Source organism: Homo sapiens, chromosome 17, assembly GCF_000001405.40.
Source record: "Homo sapiens chromosome 17, GRCh38.p14 Primary Assembly".
Lineage (NCBI taxonomy): Eukaryota > Metazoa > Chordata > Mammalia > Primates > Hominidae > Homo > Homo sapiens.
In genome coordinates this window covers 65,172,949-65,193,999 of record NC_000017.11, presented here as the reverse complement: position 1 = coordinate 65,193,999, position 21,051 = coordinate 65,172,949, and the positions used below count along the sequence as shown (strand labels likewise).

The window sequence follows — 21,051 nt, the reverse complement described above, 5'->3', positions numbered from 1 at the left end:
ATTGGCAAGTATTTGACAAAATCAGTTCCTCTTCTACTTGTGAAATGAAACATTGTCTGCCAGCCAGTCCCTCTGTCATTCCTCAGATTCCAAGTGATGCCATTGATAGGAAATGTCCAGACAGACAAATCCGTAAACACAGAAAGTAGATTCATAGTTGCCTAAGGCTGGAGGGCGTCCAGGGTTTCTTTTTTGTGTAATGAACATGTTTTAAAATTGATTGTAGCTCTATGAATATAATAAAAACCATTGAACTGTATGCTTTGAAGGGGTGAATTTTATGGCATGTGAATTGTAACTCAAAAACGGTTTTTTAAAAAACACCAATATATAAAATACATACAATTTGGCATTTAAGTCCCAGAACTGGGTGTCATCGGTGATCCAGGGGTTGCTGGGGAGGCAGCCTGACATGATGGCATCGTTGGATGAGAACTGCTCACTGTATTTCACAATCCTGAAAAGGAAACAGAAAATGATTTCCTAGAAGCTCGACACCCAAGATATGACATCAATACACAGGTCAACTGACCAGGCTGTCCTCTTTTCCTGTATCGATTTGGTGACATACTTATTACTGTTTTCCTAGAAATTTCCTCAAATCAAATAACCCTTGGGATTGGCAGGTATTTGACAAAATCAGTCCCAATTCTACTTGTGAAATGAAACATTGTCTTCCATCCAGTCCCTCTGTCATTCCTCTATACCTATTTCTTTTTCTTTTTTTTCTTTTTTTTTTTTTTTTGAGACAGCCAAGCTGGAGTGCAGTGGCACAATCTTGGCTCACTGCAGCCTCCGCCTCCCAGGCTCAAGCAATCCTCCCACCTCAGCCTCCTGAGTAGCTGGGATCACAGACGCGCACCACCAGGCCAGGCTAATTTTTTTTTTTTTTTGTATTTTTGGTAGAGATAGGGTTTTGCCAAGTTGCCCAGGCTGGTCTCAAACTCCTGGGGTCAAGCGATCCACCTCAGTCTCCCGAAGTGCTGGGATTACAGGTGTGAGCCACCATGCCCGGCCTTTCTGTATCTATTTCATTAAAATATGGCCTGTTTATATTTTATCAATAGGTTTTTAGATTCAAACCAACTTGGAGTGTTCAAACTTGTGTCTCTGCACCCATCTTAGAAGCCCAAAGTTGCCACAGACTCCAAGACTCTTGCCATGTTGGGTTCTACCCTTTCTCAGGATAATGCCTGGGTTTGGAAACTTAGGCCCATTATTTAAACCTGGGGCTTAATTGGTCCAAACACACTATTTGGAGGAAGAGCTAATTCCTTCTCTTCTAGCTATTATGGAAATACATACTGTATTATTATTAACTACAGTCATCCTTCAGTGCTACAGAACACTATCTAGCTGTAATTTCGTAACTTTTTTTTTTTTTTTGAGACATTGTCTTGCTCTGTCACTAAGGCTGGAGTGCAGTGATGCAATCATGGCTCACTGCAGCCTTGACCTCCCCAGCTCAAGCCGTCCTCCCACGTCAGTGTCATGATGAGATGGGACCACGGGCATGTGCCACCACCTGGCTAATTTTTTTTATTCTTTGTAGAGATGTGGTCTCACTATGTTGCCCAGGCTGGTCTTCAACTCCTAGACTCAAGCAATCCTCCTGCCTGAAACTTCCCAAAGTGCTGGGATTATAGGCGTGAGCCACCGCTCCCGGCCTAATTTTTTATCCTTTAACAAATACTTCCCTATCTCCCCTTCCCCCTTCCCTTCCCAGTCTGTAGTAACCTCTGTTTTACTTTATATACTTTCAAATAGCCAGAAAAGAAGATATTGAATGTTCCCAACACAAACAAATGATAAATGTTTGAGATGATGGATATGCTAATTACCCTGATCCTATCAATACACATTGTATGTATTGAAACATCACTATGTACCCCCTAAACATGTACAATTATGTGTCAATTTAAAAAACTTTTCTAAAAAAAGCTAATTCCCTTGAGTTGAGTCAGACCTTCTGAGTCAATGCATTTCCTGCTGTCTGGGTATTGAAAACCTGCTGTGCCTCCTCCCCGTAGGTGGGGAATTGTGTCCACAGTGAATGTGAAATGCACCTGCCCTGAAGTCTTCCCTCAGCCATAAGATTTGGACAGAACAGGATCCATGCCTTAGAGATAAACCACTGGTACCTTAGAGACAAGCACTGGGTTTGCAATTCTATTCAGAACTCAAGCCCCCTGGCTTATTCTCTCCCGAGACTCTCTTAGTCGACAATCAGACCTTTTTTATTTTTTTCTTTTTGAGACAAAGTCTTGCTCTGTCTCCCAGGCTGGAGTGCAGTGGCGCTATCTCAGCTCACTGAAGCCACCTCCTCCTGGGTTCAAGCAATTCTTGTGCCTCAGCCTCCCAAGTAGCTGAGACTACAGGGGCACACCACCATTCCTGGCTAATTTTTGTATTTTTAGTAGAGACGGGGCTCCATTTTGACCAGGCTGGTCTTGAACTCCTGACCTCAGGTGATCCGCCCCGACCTCAGCCCTGAAATCCTGACCTCAGGTGATCTGCCCACCCCAGCCTCCCAAAGTACTGGGATTACAGGCATGAGGCACCTCGACGGGCCCAGACATTTACCAGTGGAGAAGCTGGAGGTAAAAAACAACAACAACAACAAAAAAAAAAACTGGTTCACAGGTCAAAACACTAATGATGTCAAAATTACGGTAATGAGGTCCTGAGACAAATAAAAATTGGAAACTGGGTCTAAGAACTATCCTTGGGTCTCCTTCCATTTTCTTTCTGTTTGGTTTCATGAAACTGGGTTTATGGAACACGGAAGTAAATGGTTTTGAGTTTATCACTGAACAATGATGATTATTATAACCCAAAGTGAATGCCCCTGAGTACACAGGTGCCCTCCTCAGCTGGGATCAGGGCTTAGCAGCAGCAGAGTCACTGAAATGTGTGTGGGGTCAGGGCATATTTTCTCAGGCAGATGGCATTTTTGCAAACTGGGGACATAGGAAGATGTAAAACATTTTTACAAGAGCCCAACCCTTAAACATATTGAAGGAAGGCACTAAACAAAACAGCATCTTCAGTCCCGATTAGTACCATGACTTGAGTCTTACACAGTCAGAATACATGATTAGTCACATCGTGCCTCCCAGGAATAAGCCAAGTTTATTTTCATGTGTGCAGGAAAATCCCAGAGTTAGAAATGCAGTCCTAAGATAAATTCCGCATTTTAAAAGAATAACTGCTTGCACGTGGGAGGCAGCACTCAGCTCTTTCTTGTCTCCTAGATGATGTCCTATGGGGGGCTGGGTCAAGGTAGCCAGAAAGTTCAATAAATCAAACATAAATGTCCAATTTATCTTAATGGGATTTTAAATCAAAGATGAACAATGGACATTTAGTAGCACATGGAACCAGTAAACATGACTCACACACTCCTAATGAATTGGAACCAGTAACGATAGGAACCCAGGCTGTCTTGGATCCTCACAGGGTCTACAGTCCACGGACTTCCAACTCTTTCTAACTTCCCCATCCACACATTAGTGGATTCCAAGAAACATAACAGTCTTTTCTAGAACCTCACCTACGCTCGATTTTGCATAACCCAAGATGAGACCCGGAGGTTTATTCTGAGGGATGAACTAGGAACTAAGCCCCCAAGAGACTGGTTTTGTCCCTCACAGTTCTGCTGAATCTTCAGTCTGTCAGCCCAGGACTTGTCGAGTTTGCAGAAGTTCTCCTCTTGTCTACCTGTTCATCAGACTTTAGCAAGATCAACAAATCAGGGACATACCCTCCCAGGGACACAGAAGACTTCACTGTGGACCTCATCAAGGCCTGTTGGTAATACATGATCTGGAAGAGACACAGTTGTTAGAAGGTATTCAACCCCCTCCCACCCTTCAGTGTCACTACACACAGCCTCCAAACCCAGAAGCCATTTACCCAGAGCCACATCCCGTTCCATGCCCAGAGCCAGCCCCCTCAGTACCAGTGGGTCAGGCCCACAGTGGACAGATGACCACAGACTTCAAATCAGTGGCCTCCTTCAGCCATTATGTATTAGTCTGGGAAAAAGCATCAGCAGAAAAAAAAAAAAGTTCTAAGGAGCATTCAACTGAGACACGGGGACAAACGCTTGGCTTTTCCCTCACATGTCTCTGGCAGACAGAAGCAGAGAGTGGTCCCCACCACAGGTGACATCCTTAAACTTCCTGATTCTGCAGCATTGGCCAAAGCAAGTTATCCCCTCCTCAACCACCTTCCTCCACGTTCAGATAGCTAACCGTACACCCCAGCTCAATGCCCCATGGTTCCCAGGACTCTGTCTTGGGCCCCAGACATAAGATTTGCCAAAATAGGCAGTTGCCACCTTGGGTAGATTCTGGCCCTGTAATGATAGGTGCAGGGGCCACGTTGGGGATGTAGAGTCTCTGCAGCCTGCAGCATTGGTTCCACAGTCCTCTCTGGCCACCCCTCAGCTCTGTGCCTTCGAGGGGTTTTTCAGACCCTGAGTGCCAGCCTCAGCCCCAGCCCCAGCCAGAGCTTACAGAAGATGCTTCGTCACTCTGTGCTGTCCGTGAATTTGGAAATAATTGTTTGAACATTGCACGTGGTTTTCATTTCATTACCAAGCGCAGAGGGTAAAACAAAGTACATATAACCTGTTAGAAGATTTAAAACCATTCTTCACTGGAAGTGTAAGACTAATTACCTCTTTTTTGACAGCAACGACTGTTTGTTTCTGTAAGACAAAGAAACAAAACCGTTAGGCAGATGTCATGAAATCATTACAGTTCAAACACCCATTTGAAAAATAAAAATCCTTCCCCATGAGAAAAATGCCCATTTTTTTCTTTCTTAAAAGATAGGATTTCTCCATGTCTACTGCCTCCACTCTATTCTATGTAACCCCTGGGGAATAAATACCAAGCAAGAGATTTTGTAAGCGAAGGAGCGTAATTTACCACTGTAACTTTGCTCACCTAAAGGCCAAGATCAATTAAGGACTAAATTTGAAACTGGTGTCAGTTTAGCATAGTGCCTACAGAATGATCTGTAGAGTGAGAGATACAGATTCCTGTCTGAGATATGGATTAAGAGAAAAATGGGGAAGGCCAGGTGCGGTGGCTCAAGCCTGTAATCCCAGCACTTTGGGAGGCCGAGGAGGGAGGATCGCTTGAGCCCAGGAGTTTGAGGCTAGCCCGAGCAACATGACAAAACCCCGTCTTTACTAAAAGTACAAAAAAATTAGCCAGGCATGGTAGCGTGCACCTGTAGTCCCAGCTACTTGGGAGGCTGAGGTGAGAGGGTTGCCTGATCCCAGGAGATTGAGACTGCAGTAAGCTATGATCATGCCACTGCATTCTAGCCTGGGTAACAGAGCAAGACCTTGTCTCAAAAAAGAAAAAAGAGAGAGAGAAAGAGAGAAGAGATAGAAAAACTAGCACAGAGCTTGGGTGTTGGTTTCTTTTGTTACAGGGGAGAGCTCTGAAGCAATGGTGAGATGCATTCCCCAAGTAGTCATAACAATTTGACCAATAATATAAGTTGAAAACTAAACCAATGTTACCAAAAATAAAGCACATAATGGAAAGGCTTGAGGCCAGCATGCACTGCAAGCTGAGTCCCCGAGTTGAGCTGCCCTGTGGAATCAGGCCCCATCCCCTTGCTGAAGCTGTTGGAGCAGGGTCATACTGGGGATAAGCTTCAGGGTGTCCCCTCTCAACTTTTTGAGTTAAGGCAGAGAAAGAAAGGACAGTTCCAAGAGGGGCTTCATGTTCAGGCTCTTAGAAGCTCCTGGAAACCATTCAGATCTATCTCTGGCTAAAATACATAGATCTGCAATTGCAGTGGGCCGTGCTTCCTCTGCACCACTTTTCTGCTCCATGTAACTCCTGGAGACTGGGCAAGGTGGTGATCCCAGCCTCAGTTCTTCTAGGTTTGGTTGTGTCCAGGGGCTGGCTGGTACTGACTCTTATACTTCAAGAGGAGCCTCTTTTTGTTGCTGTTGTTGTTGTTATTGCTGTTGTTGTTGAGACAGAGTCTCTCTCTGTTGCCAGGCTGCAGTGCATGGTGTGATCTCAGTTTACTGCAACCTCCTCCTCCAGGGTTCAAGTGATTCTCCTGCTTCAGTCTCCCAAGTAGCTGGGACTACAGGCACACACCACCACGCCCAGCTAATTTTTGTATTTTTAGTAGAGACGGGGTTTTACCATGTTGGCCAGGATCACTTCAATCTCTTGACCTCGTGATCCGCCCGCCTTGGCCTCCGAAAGTGCTGGGATTACAGGCGTGAGCCACCGCACCCGGCCTCACGCGGACCCTCTTAATTCCTGCCTTGTTAATATCCATGCTGCTTAACCCACCCAAGTCTTCACTTGGAAAAGAGTGGTTAAGTCTGAGGAGGACACTACTTCCTTTGAGGCAGTCAGCAAAATAAACACTGGCCCATGAGCCCATTGAAAAGGAGTAAAGGAGAGTCCAGTCTAGAATGTCATGTACTGGTCTCTCCTTTCTAACTCAGGCTGGGTTTCATTTTGCTTCCCCGGATTGCTCTTCTATCATTGCTTTTCACAAGAAATCTTTTTCCTGCATAGGGGATTAGGAAGAGTTATCTCAGAAAGGTAAGGCTCACGTAGTTCTCTAAGTTTTAGGCTCTTATACACCCTGACTTCCTCCTTCATAGCACTGATCGCCATTTGAATTTTATCCTTATTTGTGTGACTCTTTGTTTAATGTATGAATCAACATGAAGGCACCATTAATGGCAGGGGACCAGGTCTATCTTCCCTAGCACAATGTCCGATGCAGAGTAGATGCTCAGTAAATGTGTAATAAATGATGACTTCAGCATGCTTGGGGGCCTAGAAGAATGGGGACATTTTCTAAGCTTAATAGCATTTTTTTCCACTAAAAAATTGAAAGCACTCCCCAAATGATCCAAATGCATTGGCAGTCATACTTATTTGATCCCATTCTCTTCCAACCTAAGGCACTGTTTTAGAAGATGCACATTTCAGGTAGAAAAGGACCCTGGGGCCAGAGTGGACTTACATTCAAATCTAATACTTTATAATTACTTCCTTCTGTTGGAGCCTTGCTGGAGTGGGTTATTCAGAATAGCATCTACTGGTTTATGCCCTCTGCTCAAAGGGGGAGCTGTACTTTTACATAATGATAACTGCCTAGCAACTACTGCAAAGCAATTTATACTTCTTTGAGTCTTTACAAAGCTTAAGGTAAGGAGATTTTATTATACTAATTTTTAGCTGAGGAAACAAAGCTTCTGAGAGGTTGTGGGTAAACTTCTCAACACCTCCTGGTCAGTAATTGGATGGGCCAGGATTCAAATTCAGCTCTTCCCTTTGCAAAGCTGAAGAGCGATTGTTGAGAAACACAAAATCGCTGATCCTGTTCACTTTTTCCTCCTAGCCTGCTCTCTTCCCATTCCTTCCTTGCCCTGAAGCTGAGAGTGCTACAGGATGGAATGACTCTGTCCAGTCACTTAATTTAAAACATAAACAAGGCCGGGTTCGGTGGCTCACGCCTGTAACCCCAGCTCTTTGGGAAGCTGAGGCAGGCTGATCATCTAAGGTCAGCCTGGCCAACATGGTGAGACCCCCATCTCTACTGAAAATACAAAAATTAGCCGGGCATGGTGATGAACACCTGTAATCCCAGTTACTTGGTGGGGGGTGGGGTGGAGGCGGGACTGACCCAGGAGAATTGCTTGAACCCAGGAAGTGGAGGCTGCAGTGAGCCGAGATCATGCTACTGCACTCCAGCCTCGGCCACAGAGCGAGACTCCATCTCAGAATAAATAAATAAATAAATAAATAAATAAATAAATAAATAAATAAATAAAATGTAAACCAAAAGTGAACTAGAGCCGTAACGCAAGACAAAATACAAGTACCAGAAACACTCTGTCCTTAACACTCATGATGGTGCAGAATCGTGCTGGGCTCACACTCAGCCGCCAGTGTCATAAGCACCTCCAAGGTGTCCAGACCCCAGCATCAAGCTTTCTGCCTGTCGGCCACTGTTCTGCGGCCAGAACATGGGGGCACAGGGCTCCTGAGTGGACGCACACAGATGCATCCTGGCTGCCTGGTGTTCTCTGGGCCCTGCAGGGAGCTGTATTTGCAGGACTTTCTGCCATGCTCATTTCCATTCTGCCTCTAGGGGGTCTCCCTTTGGCTTACTATACTTGCTTCTAGGGCCATTATCTCAGTCTTCGGGGGTTTACAATTTGTATACTCCTGTTCACTTCATTTGATTTTATTATCTCCCTAGGGCTCTGCCTCTGTGCTGTAGTTTGCTATTTTGTTTTCTGATTCCCAGAATTACCAGTTACCTTCTGGGAATGGAACTGCAGCTTGCTCTCCATTAATAGGATTTGGTTGAAGGTGAGACTTTCCCACCTCTACCTTGGATTGTCCACATGAATTTAGCTTGTATTTCTAGCTTTAAAAATAGCTGTCCAGGTTGCGTACATTGAAGGACAGTGGCTGTGGAATGTGTGGCTTTGGCTAGATTGAAATCATGGCAGGTCCAGAAACTGATGCCCAATTCCAGGCGTTAAAATGCATTTCAACTCTTAGACGCTCACAAGTACAGTGAGTTGAGTACTGGCCACATATGGAGGCATTGCTTTGATGATCTTTCACTTCAAGTCAAGATCTAAAAAAACTCCATCTGTGAAAGCAATATAATGGATTCTAAACTGTCTGTGCCTCAGCCGTTTAGTTCTCATGCCTGGAGAAGCTCATGTCGACTTGTCATGTGATAATTCAATTTGTACAATAAATTATGAACCTGGAAAAAGCAGCCATCCATGGGATCTGCTTCCTCTAGATTAACATACAGGGATCTCTGCTCTTCTAGGAGTGTGTACAGGGAGGGGACAGTGAGAGAAAAGAGTCCTGAACTTTTTAAAAGGTGAAGAGACAAATTGATTTGGAGGGAGTGGTGGAGAAGAGATTCAGGAAAGAGTATGGATGGTGGTACATGCCTGTGGTCCCAGCAACTACTGGAGGCTGAGGACAGAGGATTGCTTGAGCCCAGGAGTTTGAGGTGGCAGTGAGCTACAATGGCACCACTGCACTGGAGCCTGGGTGACAGAACAAGACCTTGTCTCAAAAAAGAAAGAGAGAGAGAGAGAGAGACAGTGAGAAGGAAGGAAAGAAGGAAGGAAGGAAGGAGAGAGAGAGGAAAGAAAGAGAAAGAAAGAAAGAGAAAGAGAAAGAAACAAAGAATGAAAGGGAAAGGAAAGGAAAGGAAAAGAAAAAAGAAAAGAGAGAGGAGGGAGGGAGAGACAGAATGAAGGAGGGAAGGAAAGAGAGAAAAAAGGAAGGAAGGAAAAAAAGAAATAGAAGCATATGGGCTTTGGGGATCGGACAAAGGTTAAAATTCTAGTCCTACCACTTCCTGGCTATGACCTTGGATGAGTTGCTCAGCATCTCAGAGCCTCTAATTTCTCATTCGTAAAAGGAGAATAGAAAAAAAGAGGGACTAAATGCGATAATAGACATAAGGTCCCTGGCACATAGCAGAGACCCACACACAGTGCCTATTCATTAGGGCTACTACACCACCACTGAGCACGTGAGCGGCACAATTTAAGCCCTCATCAGATAAAATGCAGGATTCACAGGCAATATTTGGGACCTATTATGCAAAAAAAGATATTCATTGCTTATCTGAAATTCAAACATAACTGGGAATCCTGTATTTTTATTTGCTAAGTCTTTCAAACCTACTATCAATATTATTATATCTTAGCCAAAGGCAATAAGAAACATTATGTTAAAACGAAGTTGTTACAAAAAAAAAGTACGCACAATTCTAAGCAATTCAAAGAAAACCACCTCATGATAAAATAAGAAATAAGAGTTTTTTTCCAGCCTGGCATTCACACACAACTTCCCTCCTTTCTCAGCTGCCGGCCCTCCTGGAGTGAAGCCACTTCTTTATGCCTCATCTCAGCGACACACTTTGCTACAGGAGGAAGACTCTGCTTAAGGAATCTCCGGATGCTCTGCATTCTTAGCATTCTAACAACTTCTTATTTTTCCCTTGCAGAGTTGCCCAAATAGGGACACATCTAGACTTGTTGTTTACATAGCTCTGGGCCGGCTGACTGGCAAACCCCGGATGGAGGGTGCAGACAATTGGCACAGGGCAGAAGGGGTCAGGCCACCGGCAGGAGTGCAGGGGAGAAATAAGCAAGGACCTTGGGATGGGGTAGCCAGGCAGGTATCTGCAGAGAAACTCAGGTGGGGGGCCAAGCAAGCCACGGAGCCAAAGGCGAGATGGGGAGAACCGTGAGGAATCGGGCAGCACTGGCATTGAGAGCAGAGAGGGGGTCTAAAGTCAGAAACCCGGAGATCCAGAAACACAAGTGGTTAAGCAGGCAAGAAAAGAGATGGAGCCGGGTGCAGTGGTTCATACCTGTAATCCCAGCACCCTGGGAGGCCAAGGCAGGTGGATCGCTTGAGCCCAGGAGTTCAAGATCAGCCTGGGCAACATGGTGAAACCCCGTCTCTACTAAAAATACAAAAATTAGCTAGTCTTATAACCTGGTCTCAAAACGAATAAATAAAGGCCAGGCGTGGTGGCTCACATCTGTAATCCTAGCACTTTGAGAGTCCAAGGCAGGCGGATCACTCGAGGACAGGATTTTGAGATCAGCCCGGCCAAAAAGACACAACCTTGTCTCTACTAAAAATATAAAAATTAGCTGTGCATGGTGGCACACATCTGTAATCCCAGCTACTCAGTAGGCTAAGGCATAAAAATCTTTTGAACCCAGGAGGCGGAGGTTGCAGTGGTCCGAGATTGTGCCACTGCACTCATGCCTGGGTGACAGAGCAAGACTGTCTCAAAATAGATAGATAGGTATGTAGGTAGGTAGGTAGATAGATAGATAGATAGATAGATAGATAGATAGATAGATAGATAGATTTAAAAAAATTAAGGGGGTGCAGCTGTCTAAGGAGTCTTGGATTTAAGATTGCGATCATGTGAAGTAAATAGCCGTCCAGCCAGGTACGACCTCATCAAGTAGAGGTAGAATTGCTTACAATTTGCAAGGCTCAGTGCAAAATAAAAATGCAGTTCACTGTTCAGAAAAAAAGTGTAAGGAATTCTGAGATGGTAACAGAACATTAAATCAAACAAGGGTCCTTCTGAGGGTGGGGTCTTGGGCGGCTGTACAAGCCCCCTGCCCATGAAGCCGGCCCTGGGTGCAGGACGTAGGCCTTGTGGGGTGGAGAGGGGAGCAGCGGTTGGATCAGGGAGGCCCATGAGCTACAGAACTGGAAACACGTAACTGAATCCTGGCTGGGTCACCTTGGGCAAACGGCTATGTCTCTCTATTTTGTTTTCTTCATGTGAAAAAGGAAACTGACATTGTCTCTGTTAATGGACTTCAGGAAATGCAGAAAAACTTCTAAAAGCCACAATAAGGACATTAGAAAACATCAGGCAGGATGTGGAGTGGGCTCTGGCGGCCATCAGCTGAGGTTCAGATCCTGGCTTCACCACTTCTCAGCTGTGTGTCCTTGGGGGAGCCACCCTCTCTCTCGGCCTGCTTTCTCAACCGTGAAACGGAGGTCAACGTGGCCATCTACCTTCTAACGCAGTAGTGAGTCTTAGCTGAGCCGTTACAAAGGGTGGCGCACTCAGGTCCATGCCTGGCACGCAGGGAGCTGTCAGCAAACATCAGCCCCTTCCCTTCCCTCAGCTAGGCATGGTCACACAGAAGCCACAAGAAGAAAGAAGTTTGTCCCCTATTGGCGGGAGCATATGGTGTGTGAGGGCTCCAGGCTGAGCACCTCTGCAGAGCACAGTATTTTATACTGGGAGGCCATATTTCTGCCTTTTACCAAAAGATCTGTATACTCGCCAGTGTAGACTGAGGTTCTGAGCAGCTGCTTATTGGAGTAGGCAGAGAGGTTGAAATTGGCATGTAACCCCTCCTTCCACCTCTAACCAGGGGAGAAGTATGAGAAGGTGAAAAGGCAGAAGAGGAAATTGGCTAGGTACAGCACCCTAACATGGAGTCTGAGGTCTACAAGTCCCATAAATTCTCTCTCATAGCATGACAACATTTAGAATAATACCAGCTGTGTGTGGAGTGTCTCTACGTGTTGATTAGCATTCTAGACACTACACATAAGTGATCCTGCTTAATCCTCTGATGAAGGAACTAGCATGCTTCCCCTGTTAGAGATGAGGAAACTGAGACTGTGGCTCAAGAAAGAGCTTGCCCAAGATCACATGGACCGGAAGTGGCAGAGCTGGGGCTCAGGCCAATGTCAAGGGTCTCTTCAGCACCCGACACTGCCCTCATCCCTAAATGATGGCAGTGATCCTGCCATGAGCGGCCCCTGCCCCCATCACCTCCTGGGGTGCAGGAGTTGGGGGTTCCGTATGCCTCAAGGTATTGGAGCTAAAAGAGGACTCACTTCTAGAGTGTGGTCCCGGCCCCTGGCCAGTCCCTCCCAGCTGCCATTAGCCAGTGGGAGTGGGCCACCCAGGGCCCGAGACACCTGCCAACCTAATGACTTTCCTCCTTATGGTTGACGGTTACTTGCCTCTATTTGGGGAAAACAGATACATCTTCTCAAGAATTTACTCATTCTCGAAATGCAAATCAAAACCACAATGAGATAACATCTCACACTAGTCAGAATGGCTATTATCAAAAAGTCAAAAAATAACAGATGCTGGCAAGGAGAAAAGGGAAGCTTATATGCTTCTGGTGGGAATGAAATTAGTTCAGCCATTGTAGAAAGCAGTGTGGTGATTTCTCAAAGAACTTAAAATAGAATTACCATTGACCCAGCAATCGCATTACTAGGTATATACCCAAAGGGATATAAATCATTCCGTCATAAAGACACATGCATGCCTATGTTCACTGCAGCACTATTCACAATAGCAAAGACATGGGATCAACCTAAATGCCCATCATTGGTAGACTGGATGAAGAAAATGTGGTACATATATACCATGGAATACTATGCAGCCATAAAAAAATGAGATCATGTTCTTTGTAGCAACATGGATGGAGCTAGAGATCATTGTCTTAAGCGAACTAACGCAGGAACAGAAAACCAAATACCACATGGGCTCACTTATAAGTGGGAGCTGAACATTGAGTACACAAGGACACAAAGAAGGGAACAACAGACACCCAGGCCTACTTGAGGGTGGAGGGTGGGAGGAGGGAGAGGATAGAAAAACTACCTATGAGTACTATGCTTATTTCCTGAGTGACAAGATAATCTATATACCAAACTCCGGTGACATGCAGTTTACCTGAAATGTAACCCCTGAACCTAAAATAAAAGTTTAAAAAGAAGGATTGATAGCCAGGCGCAGTGGTTCATGCCTGTAATCCCAGCACTTTGGGAGGCCAAGATGGGCGGATCACCTGAGGTCAGGAGTTCAAGACCAGCCTGGCCAACATGGAGAAACTCCGTCTGTACTAAAAATATGAAAAAATTAGCTGGGCGTGGTGGAACACACCTGTAATCGCGGCTACTCTGGAGGCTGAGGCAAGGAGTTACTTCAACCCGGAAGGCGGAGGTTGCAGTGAGCCGAGATCACGCCACTGCACTCCTGCCTGGGTGACAGAGCAGGACTCCGTCTCAAAAAAAAAGAATAGAAAAGAAAAAAAGAAAGAAGGATCGATTCCTTCTCAAAATGACCTCTCTTCAAACCAGCTCAGGCACCATGAGTTCTCTGAAGTGAGACAAAAATCCAAAGCCTCTGCACTCCCAGGTCTTCATGGAGATGCTTCATGCTCTTGGCAACCCTCTTCTCTCAGGGCAGATTAACCCGGGAACACAGGGGACTCGCAGACAGTGGAAAATGTTGCAGACAGATAAACCACAGCATGCTGGGGCTGCCTGAGGGGAGGGCTGGAAGGGGCTCTGCATGCATGAGAATTGCAGTTCTTTATTCTTCTTAATACTTTATTCCACAGCAGCCAGAGTGCACAGACAGGAGATAGATAGATAGCTGGGAAGAGAGAGAGAGAGAGACAGAGAAGATAACGGTAAACAGCGGAGACACAGCCCGTATCACACCCCACCATGGCAAAGGCACCCTCTGTCGTACACCCAGCCTGCCCACTGGGTTCTGGGCTGAGGGTGTTGCCAGCATCCACATCCGCAGGAAGTGGGCTCTGAAGGCCAAGGAGCACAAAGATGCCTCCTCAGTAAAGACAGTAATCTGGTCACCCTCCTCAGAAGTCACCCCCAGGATGGAGCAGCTCAGCTCCTTAGCTTCCCTCTCAAATGGATGAAGTTAAGGTCCTGCCTAACCACCCCCAACACACACACACACACACACACACACACACACACACACACACACACAGCTGAGCAGTATCCTGGCTTGGGTCACGGATGGGTGACCCTTTGTTCCCACCCCCCCATCTCAGAATGAGTGATGTGCTTTCTGCCTCCACCCTCTCTCTCCTCCCCAGGAAAGAGGTTTCCAGAGCTGCTAGTTAGCCATAAAAAAAAGCAACCCTTCCACCCAGGTTCAATCTTTTACTCGAGGATTCTGTTTCCATGGCAACCAAGCCTACAAGGCCTCAGCAGTGATCTGTTCTCTGGCAAGGGGAACACGGGAAAGGCTGCCCTGGGAACAGCTGAGTTAAGGCTGACTGTGCCCTGTGTGTATCAAAGGAAGGGTCTCTCCAGCTTGTGGACAAGAGACCTAATGGTTCCCCCGGTGACCCTCTCCAGGGAGCAAAAGCAAACACTGTCCCAGAGCTGCCTTGCTAACATTTCTGGCTCCTTTTTCTTTCCCCTCCCACTTCCACCCTCCTCCTTCCCCTGCACACCCCTACAGGCCCCCACTCATGCCTTAAGGCTCTGCAGAGCCCTATAGATGCACCCTAGGCTAGAGATGACACCCTTGCTACCCAAAGACAATGTTTGACAGAAAGCAATGAAACTACCTAAGATCTGTTTAAATGGGTCTAGGATGGTTCATTGGAATCAGTGGTTGTCAGCCAGAGTAATGTTGACTTCCTTCCCAGGGTACAATGGGCAATGTCTGGAGACATTTTTGATTGTTAGGACTGGGGCTTAGGTGGGCAGGGAGAGGAATGGAGGTACTGACATCTCATGGGCAGAGCTGGGGATGCTGCTGAACATTCTAAAATGCACAGGACAGCTTCACCAAAGAATTGTCTATCTGAGCCAGGCACAGTGGCTCACACCTGTAATCTCAGTGCTTTGGGAGGCCAAGGCAGGAGGACTGCTTGAGCCCAGGAGTTCAAGACCAGCCTGGGCAACATAGAAAGACACTGTCTCTACAGATAATTTCAAAAATTAGCCAAGCACGGTGGCATGTGCCTGTGGTCCTAGCTACTTGGGTGGCTAAGGCAGGAGGATCACCTGAGCCCAAGAGGTCAAGGCTGCAGTGAGCTATGAGCATGCCACTGCACTGCAGCCCGGGCAACAGAGTGAGACCCTGTCTCAAATAATAAATGAATTAAATAAATAAATAAATAAATAAATAGGAAAAAAAAAGAATTATCTGGCCCAAAATGTCAATAGGGCCATGGGCTCAACAGCTTATGAACTGTATTTCTATAAATAAATAAATACTCATAGGACATTGGCTATCCATCATGAAAGATGGCCTATTTGAGGAAAGGTATTTTTTTTTAATGAAACCTGCTTGGAGAATCTTTACAAAGATCCCACTCCACTGGGATGTGAAAGAAAGTGTTAGATTCCAGGTCCTGTCATGTGGATTAAGGTTAAATCTAAAACTGATTCAAGAGTTTCGAGGCTGGGGTCTACAGTCTCCTCAGGATCAAGGAACTGGCTGAAACTGTGTACAGAATGTCTGTCTGTGCATCTTTGAGTGGAATGAGCTCATAACTTTCATCAGATTTTCGAAGGGGGAAGTGACTCAGAAAAGTTTGAAAACCAGCCATCTAGATCCCATTAGCTCTTCCCTGCACTCTACAGCCTCTGTCTGTCTTCAGTCGTAATTTCTTCTCACCTAGCATCCTGCCATGGTCCCACTTCTCCCCTAACCCTGAGTCCACAGAGCCCACGGTCCTCCTCTCTTTGATAGTCTCAAAGAGGAGATATCGTTGCCCTAACAGACACGAATAGACATGTGGACACCTTCCCAGCCCCAGAATCCGACCTAGGCCCTACCCAAACTATGCAGCAGAGACATACCTGGTTTACCTTGACTTCATTCGGATTGGTCACTCGGTCCAGGCCGTAGTCCAGCACATTGTCCATTCCAGGCTAAATGGAATAAAAACAACATAAGGTCATTACAGGGAGAGTCTCCAGTTTCTGGTTAACTGTGGGTCTTGGTTAATCTGCCAATTGTGAGATTGAGCTGAGAAGAGCTTGTGGCCTAGCCCATGGGAAGCTTTGAGTGGGTGTAAACCCTCCAGGTGAGCTGTTGAGCTTCATGAGGGCTGTTATGCCTCCCAGTATCCCCAGCACCTAACATAGTGAGATGGAAGGATGGAGGGAGAGAAGGATGGGTAGATGCGTGGGTGGGTGGATGGATGGAAAAATGGACAGGTGGTTGGCATCCCCAGCACCATAGTGGGATGCATGGATAAGTGGATGGATGAATAGGTAAATGGGTGGCGGGTAGATGGTTGATGGGTGGGTGAGTGGATGGATGGATGGATGGATGGCCAGACAGATGAATGGCATTCCCAGCACCAGAGTTGGATGGGTGGCAGGAAAGAGGGAAGGAGAGGGGGATGGGTGGATGGATGAATGAATAGGTAAATGGGTGGTAGGTGGATGGTGGGTGGGTGAATAAACGGATGGATGGATGGGTGGATGGATGGATGGATGGATGGACGGACAGATAAATGGCATCCCCAGCACCATAGTGAGATGGATGAATGGAGGGATGGAAGGATGGATGGATGGATGGATGGATGGATGGATGGATGGACAAACAAATGAATGGCATCCCCAGCACCATAGTGAGATGGATGGATGAAGGAATGGAATGGTGTACGAATGGATGGAGGAAGGGAAGGAGGGATGGATGGATGAATGGGTGGTAGGTGGATGGTGAGTGGATGGGTGAAGAGATGGATGGATGGATGGATGGATGGATGGACAGATGAATGGCAAACTCAGCACCATAGTGGGATGTATAGATGGAGGGATGGATGCATGGATGAATGGGTAAATTTGTGGTAGATGGATGGTGAATGGATAGGTGAAGAGATAGACGGATGGGTGGATGGGTGGATGGATGGATGGATGGATGGATGGATGGATGGATGGATGGTTGAGTGAGTAGATGGATGGATGAGTGAGTGGGCATATGGATGGGTAACATTCAGGCTCCAAAAGAGTTCACTGAGACTAATACATGGGCTTCCTGACTCTTCCCACAGTGCTCCTTCCCCACACTCTGTGGTTTCATCTTGGGCTTGGCGGGAAAAGTGAAGTGACAGAGCAGTGCTTTGGGAAAGTCCAGGCTTGTCAGGCACGTCTGGGTGCCACTCCTGGTTCTGCCACTTCCCAGCTGTGCAGAAGATCTTGGAAAACACTCCTTGTCTTGGCACTCACTAACCTCTCTAAGAAACAGAGAAGAATCCTCCTACGTGGCAGGTTCTTGTGAAGATTTAACAAGATAGGGTGTGAAGCTCTCCACAGAAGGTAGCTATTGCTGAGCAAGGGGTTGTATTCATTTTAAGATTACATATGTAAAAGAATGGCCCAAAACTGGGACTGTAATCTCTGTTAGTTCCCTTTGCCAGCAGGTAACCCAGCTCTCCAGAAAATCTTACTTGGTCTCTCTCAACTCCTTGACTCTTTGAGACCAATAATTTGGGTCTTTCACTTCCCCTGATGCAGGTGTGATGCCAGGCATCCACCCATTGCTCAGCACATGTGACCAACCAGGTTGGCTACACTGAAGCAGAGAGTTGGGAAGCAACTGGGCTTTCTTGCCATCAAATTCAGCCTCATCCATGGGATCAGACTGGGTTTTAGCTCAGATGTAAGACTGCCAGATAAAATGTAGGAAGCCCAGTTAATTTAAGATAAATGGCAAATAATTTCTGTCCCAATATTTTGATGCTTATTATATATTTATACTAAATATACAAAATACATTTTACATAAAAATTATTTGTTGTTTATCTGAAATTCAAATTCAACCAAATTTCCTGTATTTTATTTGCTAAATCTAGCAACCTAGCTCACCGGGCTACCATGGAGGCAAATATGTGCAGACAAGACGACACAGGGAAGAGAAAGGAAAAGGCAATAGAAAGTGGGTGGGGAGGAGGACAGGGAAAGGGAATGGCCATCCTTACCCTAGTTGTTACAAGTGGATCTTGATCAGCAAATATCTATGGGGCACTTCTTATGTGCCGGACATTGTGCTGAGCCCTGGGGAGCCCATGGTGAGTGTGCCCCGAGACCACTGCTCCCCAGCAGGCATTACTGAGGCACTCCCAGTCTCAAGGGGGAGGTAGCCACTCAGCAATTAATCACACAAAGGATAAATTAGAGTTGAGACAGGTGTCTTGAAGGGATAACACCATGGGATCTAACCTCACATGGCAGGGGCTCAGCAGAGTCAGTGCCTTTGCCAAAAAGGGTTCTAGGAGTTGCCCCCTGAATCTGGTATGGAGAAATCCCCCTGCATAACTGAAGGCAGACTTCATACACACACTTTGGCACGTTCACACACTCTCACACTCACACTCACACACCCACACACTCTCATACATACATATGCACACTCACACATGCTCACATACATACATGCCCTGACACACTGGCACACTCACACACGCATGCTCACATACATGCACACACCTACACATACTCCCACATGTACATATGCACACTCACACACACTCACATACACACATGTCCTGACACACACACACACACACACATTAATATGGTTTGGTTCTGTGTTCCCACCCAAATATCATCTTGAACTGTAATCTCCATAATCCCCAGGGATTGAGGGAGAGACCTGGTGGGAGGTGACTGGATTATGGGGGTGGTGTCCCCCATGCTGTTCTCATGATAGTGAGTTCTCATGAGATCTGATGGTTTTATAAGTGTCTGACAGTTCCTCTTTCACATACTCGCTCTCTCTCGCCTGCCACCATGTCAGATGTGCCTTTTCCCGTTCCGCCATGATTGTAAGTTTCCTGAGACTTCCCCAGCCATGCAGAACTGTGAGTCAATTAAACCTCTTTCCTTTATAAATTACCCAGTCTTGCGTATTTCTTTATAACACTATGAGAATGAATACACAAAAACATGCTCACATACATGCACACACATATGCATGCTCACACATAACACATTCACACACTCACACACGTGCATACTGACACATATATGTTTACATGCATGCACAAACCTAGGCACACTCACATATACATATGCACACTCACACTCACATACATGCTCACTTACATGTACACATCTACACACTCTCACACATACATACATATTCTCACATACATGCACACCTTGACACGCCAACACACTGACATACATGCTCACACACATGCACACATGTACACACACTCGCACACATACATTCACACACTCACTCACATACATGCACACCCAGACATACTGACATGCACTCACACTCACACACAGCCTGTGCTCATGATGCCCTACAACCAGTGTCTGGCTGCTATTCCACAGGCGCTCACTGCCTCGGTGACTTCGGTGTGGTCATCTGCTCAAGTCTTGAATTCGTTATCTAGTTCTTTCCTTCCAATGTGCCCCAGGCTCTGATATAAATTTGGTTGCCCCAGTGCTCAACAGTGCACTGCATAACTGAGATAGAGTCCTCTATGCCCTCAGCTGCCCAGACCAGACGGCCTTAGACTCTCAGACCTGCAGCCACCCACTGGGCTTCATGATTCTGCCAGCCTGTCCAGTTCCAGCCCCAACCTGGCTCTCCATGCCTTCCCTACAGAACAGCCAGGCACAGTCCTCTGGCCACTGCTGCCTCGGCTCTTGCACCTCTGTGGGCAGCAGCCCTTAAGTCTCAGTTGTTCCCAATCAAGCTGTGGTCCTTTTCCAGTTCCCTGCCCTCGAAACTGGTGAGAGGGCTGCCTTTCTGCCTCTGCTGGTTTCAGAGACTCCCAAGCTCCTTTCATTCATCCATTTCTTCATTCATCAGGTAGTGTAAAGTCTTTGACCCACTATGATCATCACCAGAGTGCTGCTGACACAGTTTCTGGCACATAACAGGGTGTTCAGATGAAGTTAACCAGAACTGACTGTCAGCGCCCAGGAAATAAGGGCAGCCGATGCATCCTGCGGTGTGTGGCCCGCAGATAAGGAGGCAGCAGGCACTTTCTGCCCTGGTGCCTCATGCAGGAAGCCTTCAGAGACATGCAAGCTCCCCTCCTCCACCCTGAGGAACTGTGAACACCAGGGTATGACCCCGCCCCCCACAAACAACATCCCTTGGGTGTAAGCCAAAGAGGCAATTTGCTCAATGCATCATCATTCAGGTCAGGAAAGGAGCTCCTGTACTCGTGACAACTGCTCGTGAGGAGGCGATGTTCCCAGGAACCCACATACAGAGCAAGGCCAGCGTGGAGCTGACGGACACTTCTCGGTGGTACTCCACCGTGTCCCCCTGCCCCTCCTTCTCTCAGCTTCACTCTCTTCCCAAAAATATCAGACTCTTCTGGTGCATGGAACAGAAAACAAATACTAAGTAAAACACTAACTCGTTTTCTAAACAAAATAAGACAGGGGAAAGAAATAGAGATGAGGCCAGGCGCGGTGGCTCATGCCTGTAATCCCAGCACTTTGAAAGCCTGAGGCCGGCAGATCATGAGGTCAGGAGTTCGAGACCAGCCTGGCCAACACAGTGAAAACCCATCTCTACTAAAGATACAAAAAATTAGCCAGGCGAGGTGGCGCACACCTGTAATTCCAGCTACTCGGCAGGCTGAGGCAGGAGAATCGCTGGAACCCAGGAGGCGAAGGTTGCAGTGAGCTGAGATCACGCCATTGCACTCCAGCCTGGGCAATAGGGCAACAC

At 46.6% G+C, this 21,051-nt stretch overlaps 1 protein-coding gene and 1 pseudogene across 3 annotated transcripts in view, besides 6 other annotated features; both read right to left on the bottom strand.

Annotated features, from left to right (window-relative positions):
• Window positions 1-21,051, bottom strand: part of RGS9 (regulator of G protein signaling 9) — a 90,334-nt gene that overhangs the window by 33,704 nt on the left and 35,579 nt on the right. For 2 of the 3 annotated variants that reach the window (NM_001081955.3, NM_001165933.2), the window contains exons 9-12: window positions 16,206-16,268; window positions 4,685-4,714; window positions 3,764-3,825; window positions 344-457 (exon numbers count right to left, since the gene is read on the bottom strand). In NM_001081955.3, the coding sequence (NP_001075424.1) occupies window positions 344-457; window positions 3,764-3,825; window positions 4,685-4,714; window positions 16,206-16,268 (269 nt within the window). Of the gene's footprint in view, window positions 1-343; window positions 458-3,763; window positions 3,826-4,684; window positions 4,715-16,196; window positions 16,269-21,051 lie in introns of all 3 variants that reach the window. The other variant, NM_003835.4, reaches the window with a different exon arrangement.
• Window positions 7,498-8,021: an enhancer, noted in NCBI's record as "H3K4me1 hESC enhancer chr17:63182097-63182620 (GRCh37/hg19 assembly coordinates)". NCBI's record gives its function as "activates a minimal SCP1, AML or CMV promoter by ChIP-STARR-seq in primed H9 embryonic stem cells {active_cell/tissue: H9 hESC(primed)}" and the evidence as "EXISTENCE:reporter gene assay evidence [ECO:0000049][PMID:30033119]".
• Window positions 8,022-8,545: an enhancer, noted in NCBI's record as "H3K4me1 hESC enhancer chr17:63181573-63182096 (GRCh37/hg19 assembly coordinates)". NCBI's record gives its function as "activates a minimal SCP1, AML or CMV promoter by ChIP-STARR-seq in primed H9 embryonic stem cells {active_cell/tissue: H9 hESC(primed)}" and the evidence as "EXISTENCE:reporter gene assay evidence [ECO:0000049][PMID:30033119]".
• Window positions 9,649-10,185: an enhancer, noted in NCBI's record as "OCT4-NANOG-H3K27ac-H3K4me1 hESC enhancer chr17:63179933-63180469 (GRCh37/hg19 assembly coordinates)". NCBI's record gives its function as "activates a minimal SCP1, AML or CMV promoter by ChIP-STARR-seq in primed H9 embryonic stem cells {active_cell/tissue: H9 hESC(primed)}" and the evidence as "EXISTENCE:reporter gene assay evidence [ECO:0000049][PMID:30033119]".
• Window positions 10,186-10,722: an enhancer, noted in NCBI's record as "OCT4-NANOG-H3K27ac-H3K4me1 hESC enhancer chr17:63179396-63179932 (GRCh37/hg19 assembly coordinates)". NCBI's record gives its function as "activates a minimal SCP1, AML or CMV promoter by ChIP-STARR-seq in primed H9 embryonic stem cells {active_cell/tissue: H9 hESC(primed)}" and the evidence as "EXISTENCE:reporter gene assay evidence [ECO:0000049][PMID:30033119]".
• Window positions 12,666-12,715: an enhancer, noted in NCBI's record as "active region_12609". NCBI's record gives its function as "activates an Ori minimal core promoter by ATAC-STARR-seq in GM12878 lymphoblastoid cells {active_cell/tissue: GM12878}" and the evidence as "EXISTENCE:reporter gene assay evidence [ECO:0000049][PMID:35858748]".
• Window positions 16,476-17,572, bottom strand: ZNF848P (zinc finger protein 848, pseudogene; annotated as a pseudogene).
• Window positions 20,257-21,050: an enhancer, noted in NCBI's record as "H3K27ac-H3K4me1 hESC enhancer chr17:63169068-63169861 (GRCh37/hg19 assembly coordinates)". NCBI's record gives its function as "activates a minimal SCP1, AML or CMV promoter by ChIP-STARR-seq in naive H9 embryonic stem cells {active_cell/tissue: H9 hESC(naive)}" and the evidence as "EXISTENCE:reporter gene assay evidence [ECO:0000049][PMID:30033119]".